At 53.4% G+C, this 9,711-nt stretch overlaps 2 long non-coding RNA genes across 2 annotated transcripts, besides 2 other annotated features; one reads left to right on the top strand and one right to left on the bottom strand.

Annotated features, from left to right (window-relative positions):
* Positions 1–1,239: 1,239 nt before the first annotated feature.
* On the bottom strand, positions 1,240–3,929 carry LINC02285 (long intergenic non-protein coding RNA 2285). The gene is made up of 2 exons (NR_146490.1): positions 3,641–3,929; positions 1,240–1,896 (listed from the first exon to the last, which is right to left on the bottom strand). It is a non-coding gene; the product is annotated as a long intergenic non-protein coding RNA 2285 (long non-coding RNA).
* LOC124903386 (uncharacterized) lies at positions 3,489–4,271 on the top strand. Its single transcript, XR_007064341.1, has 2 exons — positions 3,489–3,757; positions 4,021–4,271. It is a non-coding gene; the product is annotated as an uncharacterized LOC124903386 (long non-coding RNA).
* Positions 7,676–8,565: an enhancer, noted in NCBI's record as "H3K4me1 hESC enhancer chr14:101582557-101583446 (GRCh37/hg19 assembly coordinates)". NCBI's record gives its function as "activates a minimal SCP1, AML or CMV promoter by ChIP-STARR-seq in naive H9 embryonic stem cells {active_cell/tissue: H9 hESC(naive)}" and the evidence as "EXISTENCE:reporter gene assay evidence [ECO:0000049][PMID:30033119]".
* Positions 8,566–9,457: an enhancer, noted in NCBI's record as "H3K4me1 hESC enhancer chr14:101581665-101582556 (GRCh37/hg19 assembly coordinates)". NCBI's record gives its function as "activates a minimal SCP1, AML or CMV promoter by ChIP-STARR-seq in naive H9 embryonic stem cells {active_cell/tissue: H9 hESC(naive)}" and the evidence as "EXISTENCE:reporter gene assay evidence [ECO:0000049][PMID:30033119]".

Genomic DNA, 9,711 nt, shown 5'->3' with positions numbered 1-9,711 from the left:
CAGGTGGCCAGGGGCTGAGGCTGCAGCATGTCCATCCAGATGAGCAGGCTGACCTTCTCTTCAGCTCATCCTGGAAGGTTTTCCCTGGGCCCAGTTTGACCAATGCTTCTTGGGCTGGGCTGTTGGTGTCCCACGCACAATATTACTTATGACTAAGGATCCTTGCTGCAGAAAATGGTGACTGCATCTGTCCTGACAGTAACAACCCTTCCCACCGTCTGTCATCCAGGACGAGGCTGTGGTGGGGACATAAAGGGGACTGGGGCTGGATTGGGAGCTGTGCAGAGGCCCATAGGGATGGGGCTATTAGATTCTCTAGAGGTTCTATTGGAATGGGGGTTAAGCTACCCTGCCAGAAGCAGGTGGGTGCTTTCACTGGGGTCCTCCCATTAGAGCAGGAGCCCCGGGCTCTGGGACCAGCCATGTCTGCCACACTGATAGGTGACTTCTGACCCTCTCCACCCTACAGGGACCCCCCAGTTCTCACCAGCCCTCTGGAGTCCCCCAACAGAAACATCTAGGGCAGGGCATCGGGAGGCAAAGTCCAGAGCAGGAGGATAGGAGGCAGCCCAGGGGCTCAGGCACAATAGCATTCAGAGGACGTGAGGCCGGCATAACCTCATTGCCTAGTCACAAGTCACAGGTGGGCTCTGTGGGGCTTTTGTAGACTCTGAGCTCTGTCTGGGCCACAGTCATATCCAAACTCCCCTTGGATCCTGACCTGCAGGCAGCATCTCCAGATCTTAGGACCCCAGTCTGGGAGCCTGCAGAGGAAGACATGAGGTAATAGCGAGGAGGCGGCAGCCAGATGTGTGGGACGGTCAGTGTCATGATGCAGAGGCCCTGGTCAGCAAGGAGCAGGATTGGAAACCCCCTTGGCTCTGCGCATCCTGAAGGGGAAGGCGCCTGGTGCCTCTCTACCCTTCGATGTAACTGACGCTGTGGGGTATAATTATTTTCCTCCCTCGGTGCGAGCTGACACAGGCAGCAGCCCTGCGTGGTAGGAAGATGAGCAATAAAGCATTCTGAAATGAAGGCTCAGTGATCCGGAAGATTTAAAGCACCCTGCGTAGGAAGCAGGCTCGGGCAGCTCAAAGCTGGCTCCAGTGCCGGCCAGAGAGACGTCTTACAGCCCCCTCTTGGGTGATGGCTGTGAGGTATGGAGGGGGAAGCAGGCATCAGCATCCAGATGTTGACTCCTAGAGAGGCCTGAGGGTGGTAGGTGACCTGGGCAAGACATCAGGAGCCTAGGGCTGTTTTATTATTTGTTTCGTAGGGATGTTCAGGATTAAATATTTAAAGACTTTTAAAAATCAAGGCATAACATATGCAATAAAATGCACGCATCTGAAGTGTGCAGCTGGATGCATCTCACAGGCACAGACATGCAGGAAACCTCTATCTCATCACAGAACATTTCCACATCCGAGAGGGTCCCCTCGCCCCTCCAGTCAACAACCCCAGAAACAGCAGCAATGAAGCTGTTGGCATAGATGGTTCTTGCCTGGTTCTGGGCAGATAGAAACGGCCCCATGCAGCATGTACATGTGCGTGGTTGCCTTCTTTAGCTCAGCAGTAGGTCTGTGAGATCCACCTGTGTTGTGGCATGCCAACAGCTCTTTCCTTTTCCTTGCTGTGTAGAATTCTTTGCATGAATATAATGGGATTTACTGCACATGTTACAGTGAATGGGCCTGGGCTCCCAGCCTCCTGGTCCCCACCAAAGGCAAGCTTCTTCCTCTCCCATCTGCTTCCCATTCTCCTGCTGACCGCAGTCTCTGTCCATCCTCCCAAGCTCTCAGAATCTGAGGCTCACGGTGTCAAGAGTGGAGGAATCAAGCCGATCGGGCTGGCTCTCCACCCAGACTGGGGGACTCCTCACTGAAGGGCCTCCACCTGGAAGATCAGGGCATGAGAGCTTCAGAGAGAGGCCAGGGGTGCTGACAGGTGAGCAGCCCTGGAGGCCTCCTGAGGACAGGCCCACCCCGTCCCAGTGCTGGCCTTGATCTATCTAGGGCCCAGTCCCACCGCAGGCTCCCTTGGGCCCTTCCAGGGTCTCGGGGAGGAAAGCCCTGGAATGACCTCTCATCATCTCTCATCCTATTCCAGAGATTTCTGGATAACACTTGTGCTTGAGAGGCCGAGCTCATGGGATCCCAAGGAGGCAGAGCTGCTAGAGGGGCCACCTGAGTTCTCCAGTCCTGGGAACACCCCACTTCGCTCTGAACCAACAAAGGCCTCCGCTCTCCCATTCCGAGGTCGTGTCCTGGGATCGCTGTGTTGAGTAATTACTTACTGGAAGCCGTCCCTCCCTCAGGTGGTGGGTGGGCCGTGTGCGCGCAAGTTCGAATTGTGTGTCCACAGAGGGAATATTCATGAACTCAGTGGCGGGGGTGGGGGTGTTTTGGAAGACAGACTTGGATTTCTGAGGGAGAAGATACTTACAAGGCCTTGGTGGCCAGCCAGGTTCCCCCTCAGCCTCTCGGGCAAGGACCCCAGGAGGCCACACATCGGGGGAGGCCTGGAGGCCCTGGGGCCAAGTATTTGGTTCCTGTCGATGAACAATTTAATGAGAGTTTTCAGAAGGGCCAGACAGCCCTGGGATGAATGGCTGATCCCAAAATAGCCTCAGCTGGCACTTGGGCAGCTTAAAAGAGGCTTAAAAACAGAAAGAACCTTCAAAGAAGGGTGCCCGGGTGCCCCTGAAGCACTCTCATGCGGAGGCCTGGGGTTCTGCTCCCCAGGGACGCTGCCCTGCCCCACTCTGCCCTGAGCAGCCGGGCACAGATGCACTCTGTCACATCCCGTCCTGGCAGAGGCCAGAAGGGGCTTGGCAGAAGGAGCCTTAGGTGAGCACCGTTCCCACCCAAAATGCCTGCCCTCCAGTCCGCCACGGTCGGCCCAAGCTCCCATACCACTGCCCATGTTGGAAAAGCCCCTCTTGGCAGCCCCTATCCCCCAGCAGGCAAGAGTGGTCCTGAGCCTGGAAGGAATGTTCTAGATGGGAAGAATTGTCTCCTACTCTCGGTGGGGTGCCCCGGACCAGCTACAAATGGTGAGGAAGACTTGACTCAAGAGTATTACAGCAGGGACAGAGATGGACTCAGTTCTGAACACAGTGGGGACACCTGGGGATTGACAGCCCATGGGCAAAGGGAGGGGCTGTGGATGGAAAATGATGACGTGGAATTCAATCATTTGTCAAGGGGAGGGGATTCTCAATCAGCTCACTTAGGATTCTCTGCTAAAATTGAGTTCAGCAGGCCGTGGTGGAGTCTCGTGGAGAAGAGCTCAGAGAGAAGGGCCCAACTGAAGGGCAGCCAGGGAGGGATCCCTGTTCAGCCACACGGAGGGCCCCTTGTCCTGAACTTCCTCTCGGATTCACTGCTCGCTTCAGCCCAGTTGCCCTCGTTGGCTCCCCTAGCACAGCTGACGTAGCCCTGAGACTTCCTCAAACCCGTTTAAAAGCTGGGGGACAAAGGGGAAGGAAACGCAGTGAGCACACCAGCAGGCTTCTGTCCCCAGCCAGGGCCCGTTCCTCTGGGTGGCCCTGGCTCGGGCCTCCGGTGGAGCCTCCTGCTCTGCGGATCTTCTGGTTTCTCATCTGCCCTCCCCTGAGCCCTGGGAGGACGGCGCTCACCGACACACTGGAGCTGCGCAGTTTCAGGCCACTGTTCCCAGACTTGCACTGACTCCATGATGATCAACTCTGCCCAGGAAGTTGTCTCAGAGGGTCACCAGGAAGTGCACGGTCCAGGTGGGCATTGGGTCATCCCAGCCCCAGAAAGGCTTCAGCATCAGAGGGCTGCAAAAATCTGTGTCCCCTGGCCCCCACGGGACACAGTTCTGCAGATACAGGGCTTCCCAGCAGGGCCCCAGTTCCAGCCCTCCTTGCTTCCAGGCACAGGCACAAGCTTCTTCTCAAAAAGACTGTGAGTGGAAGGGAAGTGGGCCACTTCCGGGCTGAGGTTTCTGAGATAGGGCTGGGCCATCCCCCTGGCCACTTTCCTTCTTTGCCAGCTGCACACAGAGGGCTCTGACTCTCCCTGAACAGCAGAGCCACAGGGGTCCCTGAGTCAGCCAGGAAGAGGGCCACCTGCCCACCAGAAGCACCACATGGAGCTGTTCAGGAAGCAAGAATTAACGGTGTTACATGAAGCCACTGAAATGCGGAGGTTTTGCTTGTTAGATGCTATTATAAGTTCCCTAATATGGCATGTTATAAATCATCTCTGGCTGCCTCTGAATACAGTGTGTTTTCTAAACCAAAAGTCGCAGAGTTTATTCCCGCCTTCTTTAAACCTCCGCAGTGCATGGCTTTCCCTCCTGGATGTCACGCACCTGCCGGTCCCCTGAGCTTTGAGTACTGTCTCCCTGAGCCGCACGGGATGGTCACGCAGGGTCAGGGCCCGTCTGGCCATCGCTGTGTTCTTGGGCCCAGCACAGGCTGTCCCCCGGTGGCTGTTTAGAAGAGGGGCAGGGCTAATAGATCCTAATTGTCTCTGCCATGCTCCTCCTGTCTGTTCTGGGATCAGTGGACGCCTCGTTCCTCTTGTTTTTCATTCGTGGGACTTTCATGGGAAGCTATTTCCCTGACGGCTGTTTGCACTGATTTTTCTGAGACGAGCAACATCCTTTGCTTCTTTTCCTCTAATCATCTGGAAATGCTGTGTCTCTTGGCATCGCTGTCTTGCCTGTCTTCCACCCACCAGCTGTCCAGCTCAGAGCACTCTCAAGAGAGTTAGCTCTGGAAGAAGGACACAACCCCCTTCAGAAGGTTCTGAAATGTAGAATGCTGCCTCTCCCTGGGGCTGGGGAGTTAAGGGAAAGCACGGTGTGGGAGGGAGAAAAGCAGGACTCACCTCTGCAACCCGAGGCTGCCTGCCGAGCAGGACAGGAAAGCAGGAGGTGGGGGGAGGAGGAGAAAGACTCCTTTGGGGGCAGGAGCCTGAGTTCATATCCCGCTCAACCACGGGCTCGCAGATCCCCAAACTAGAGGAGATCCGAGGTGCAGGAAGAATGAATACCCAGTGCTTGCTCCCCTTTCAGGCAAAAGAATCATTCTGTTCATTTGACAGATGAGAAAACTGAGGCCGAGGGAGTTCAGGTAATTGGGAAACTAAGACTCAGCCGGGAAAGTGATCTGGTCAGGACACACGTGGAGTGGTACACGATGGATGCAAACCCTAGCTCCTCCGACTGCCCAGCTCTGCCCCTGACCACACCTTCATGGTGTCCATGGATATGTTCGAGAAGGATGGCAGCCCTGGCCTCCTGCCTTGGAGCTGGCCCCTCCCGGCGATCCAGCCCTCATCTCTAAGAAGGGAAAGCCCAGCCCCGTCACATCCTGGCCACGCCCGACTGTCTTCACGCTCCTGGGGCTCGCTCTTGGCTCCCAGACACCCCATGTTCACTGTGCCCCCCGGGCCTGGTCTTTGTCTAGGGCCTCCTCCCTCCTTGCTCAAGCTGATTAAAGCTGATCTCTGTTCCAAGCAATTAAACTCCAACCTGAGACCCTGCCCCTGGTACCGCCCAGGGCTGCTGTTGGCTCCACGGAGACAGCGTCTTTCTTTGCACAGCTGTACATGCGGAAGGGATGGGCTCGTTCGGAGTCAAGATGGGGTCATTTGGGACAGTTCTGGACTGGGCCAAGGTCAGGAGACCTTTCCACCATTGCAGTTTCCTTCTAGTGTATAAGATACACAAACAGCAACACATCTGCCTCTAAAGCAGGGGAAAAAGAACAAGAAAAGCAAACTCCTTCTTAAAGCTTATTAGGAAGACAACACGTCATGTTAATTCTTTTAGTGGAGTGATGATGCGGGGAGAAACAACACTGCAAGTCCTCAGGGACTCTCCCCCACGTGCTCATGGAGACACTCAACTCTGTTCCAAAGAACAAAGTTGAAATAGTTTGTAGGCGAGAACTTGATGAAAATTTGACATTTGATAAGAAACTAATTTTGGTGTGCCTTTTTAATACCTTAAAACACTATAGTAATAAACAACATCTATAAATGTCAAACTTTTCTATTTTGATTATGTTGCTTTGATTTTTATCAACTTTTTTTTATTAAAAATCCACTGTAAATGAAATAGAGAAGGGAAGATCGGCACAAAAAGATAAATTTTACAGTTTATCAAGATGTAAGCGACAGCATCTCATTTTTTTCAGCACTGGGATTATTATTTTTTGTCTCACTGTGGTTATTATGATGTTTTTATCTTTGTCTTCGAGTCTAGGAAACTTGCAGAGCTATGGGAACTGGGATTAAATTGCAGAGTGAAGGCGGCTTTCGCCTCAGCAGAGCAGAAAGATGCCAAGGTGGGCCAGGGATGGGGGAGGAGGGACATGCTCAGATTCTCTAGCTCTTTGGGTAGCTGCCAGAAGAGTGGAGTTAACTCTTCTAGGACCATAGCCCTTCCCTGGCTAGTGCTAAAGTTCCTCTCTGAACCCCTGTGGGTTCCCCCACACCCACTCCCCATTCTGAAGTTTCACATTTAGTTGAGGCCTATGTCCTATGGCTGTCCAGGCTCCAGTGGGGGATGGATCTAAGTCTGGGTTCCCTGTGCCAAACATGAAGGCAGTGTTTGTGAGTGCTGGAAGGAGAGATGGAGGGAGGTGGATAAATGGGGAGATGAATGGATGGATGGATGGGCATAAGGATGTATGGAAAAGTGGATTGACAGATGGAGGAATATATAGATATATGGAAGGAGAAAAGGATGAATGGAATGACAGAGGGAGAAAGAAGCAGATGAATGGGTGGGTGGATGGATGGACACATGGAGAGATGGATGGATGGGTGGATGGATGGATGGATGGATGGATGGATGGATGGACGAATAGAAAAGTGGATGGAAGGATGGGAGAATATACAGATATATGGAAGGAAAATGGATGAATGGAATGATGGAGGGAGAAAGAAGCAAATGAATGGGTGGGTGGATGGATGGACACATGGAGAGATGGATGGATAGGTGCATGGATGGATGGATGGATGGATGCATGGATGGGTGGATGAATGAATGGATGGATGGGTGGAAAAGTGGATGGATGGATGGATGGATGGTTGGATGGATGGATGGATGGATGGATGGAAGAATACGTAGATATATGGAAGGAAAATGGATGAATGGAATGATGGAAGGGAGAGAGAAGCAGATGAATGGGTGAGTGGATGGATGGACACATGGAGAGTTGGATGGATGGATGATGGACAGATGGATGGATGATGGACACATGGGTGGATGAACGAATGGATGGGTGATTATATGAATGCAGGGAGGTATGCATGAAGATAGGGAGAAAGGGGGAGGGTGGGAGAGCAGGCCTGTTCACTGGCTGGCAATTTTAGAACCACAACCTGTCAAGGCTTTAGTTCAGGCTTAATAACCTCCCCAGATCCTTCTGGCTCTGAATATTTTCAGTCCTCCAAAGTCAAGCTCAAAATAAAAGGGAAGGAAAATAAATCTCTTAAGGTAGCCTCTGTGTGCTTTTGAGAAGCAGTCACTTACAAGGACAACCATAATAATCATTTTTCTATTCCTTCCCAATTTGTAAAACATGTCCATGCCCTCATTTAACCCTTACAACCACTTGGAGATGAACATCATCCCAGCTTATCTGACAGCGGAACCGGGACTCAGAGAGCAGGGGTTTGCCCAAAGTCAGATTGCAAGTGACAGACAGAACTGGATCCTGGAGAGTCGAGCCTTCTGGCCCCTCTCCCCCAACAAGTCCCATCTCTGGCCTCAGGAGGCCGAGCTTGCTGGAGGCCCAGGGTGGTGGGTGGCATGCCAGATTCAGCTTCCTTTTGTGCAGTCTGGTGGGAAAAAAGGAGCCCGACAAAGCTGGAGAGTATCGGAAGTCTTGCCTGAGACGCAGAGCTCTGGAGCGTTCCAGGCCTGTGAATTCCCTGCTCCTGGAGGGCAGGTGGGAGAGGAGCTGATGCTGTTCACGGTCAGGTCAGACGGTGCCGCAAGCCTGTCCTGAGAGATTTGGGATCCGGAGGTTTGTGCACAATGGTGGCAGCAGCACAGACGTAAAGCCCCAGTCCTCAGCATCAGAATCCGTGACTCTTCTGAAAATGTGACTTCAATTCCACCAGCGCTGCAAGAGCACTGAGCTTGGAGTGCTTGGAGTGGGAAGGGAGGGGGGCTTGAGGGTCACTCAGTGTCCATGAGTGGTAGATAGAACTGGGTCCTGGAGCAGCTGAGCTGCCTGTGCAGACCGGCAGGGCCACTGTGAGCGTGTGCTCAACTGCTGCAATTTCTCATCCCACCCGTGTCTTCCGCTGCTGTGCTCCTTTGCTGAGAAAAGAAGGTCTTGCAAGTCCATAGGGTTCCCACATGTTAGATGCCTCTGCACCCTTGAACTCCAAAGAGTTTGTGATCCCAGGAAGCAGCTCTGAAATCCATTCCATAGAACTCTGGAGGTGACCGCCTGCTGTGCAATAAACAAAACCTCCAGACACCCCCACCCCCAACAACAGCTTAAGGAGCCACTGGGTGCTGAGAGCAAGGAGGGAAACCATGACCACACCTCTGCCTCTCTCACCTCCTTCATGGCCTCCTGCAGCCCTGGGATGAGAGGGGACAGCGCCCTAACAGTGAAACAGGCCCTGGAGGCAGAGGCTGGCCCCCTCCTCTCCCCTAGGGACTGTTGCTACATCAGGGAAATGACCTTAGATTTTCCCGCCTGTCCACCGAATTATCTATACTCTATTCTAGACAGCTCAGGTCCTGAGTTGAGTGAATTTGGTAACTATTTTAGTTTGCTGAAAGACCCTGGCTGCCTGCAGCCGAGGTCGGTCAGTGATTTTCCCCAAAGGTGTTTGTAGGGTCCCTAGCTGGGGGACTCCATGTCCACCCACTCACTGGCTCTTCCTCCTTGGTCCCCCATTCCGCTAATGCTGCCTGGGCACCTGCCTTCCACCCAGGGGCACCGGGCACCGAGGAGATGGGCGGGAGCAAACTGGGACATTTCTTCCCTTGAGAGTGATATTCTCTCCAGGGAGGGACCACATAGGGGAACCAGAAGACACAAAAGGCCATTACACTTCAAAAAATAGATTTAGGGGTCCAGGGCATTCCATTAACGTTGCATGGTGGTGAGGTCTGTGCCGTTAGTGTAGCCATCACCTAAGCAGTATACATTTGTACCCATTAAGCAGTTTCTCGTCCCGCATCCCCCTCCCACCCTTCCAAGTCTCCAGTGCCTCTCACTCCACACCCGGCATCCATGCGTATGCATTGTTTAGCTCCCACTTATAAGTGAGAACATGCGGTCTTTGACCCTCTGCGTCTGCTATATTTCACTTAAGATAATGGCTTCCAGTTCCATCCATGTTGTTGCAAAAGATGTCAGTGTGCTATGAGCGAAGCCAGCAGCGCACCTGCGCAAGCACACTGTGGGCAGAGCCTCCTGCAGGAGCTGTGCTTCAGCTGAGTCAGAACGAGATGCAGAAGGAGACGGGAGCCGCCTTGGAAGGAGAACTTGGGGAACGCAGTTCCAGCAGGAGGGACAGCGGGGACAAAGGCCTGAGACTGGGAGGCGGCTGGCTCTGGACTGGATGGGAGGCCGGGTGGCCACAGGATGACAACAGGAGGAGGTGTGGGATGGAGCAGCTGCAGGGTGCTTGGGTGGGCCTGGACACCAGATCTGGGTTTATCCTGAATGCAGAAGGAAATGAGGACAGATTGAGCAGG

This window comes from Homo sapiens, chromosome 14 (genome assembly GCF_000001405.40).
Source record: "Homo sapiens chromosome 14, GRCh38.p14 Primary Assembly".
Lineage (NCBI taxonomy): Eukaryota > Metazoa > Chordata > Mammalia > Primates > Hominidae > Homo > Homo sapiens.
This window is presented reverse-complemented; position numbering and strand designations above follow the sequence as displayed.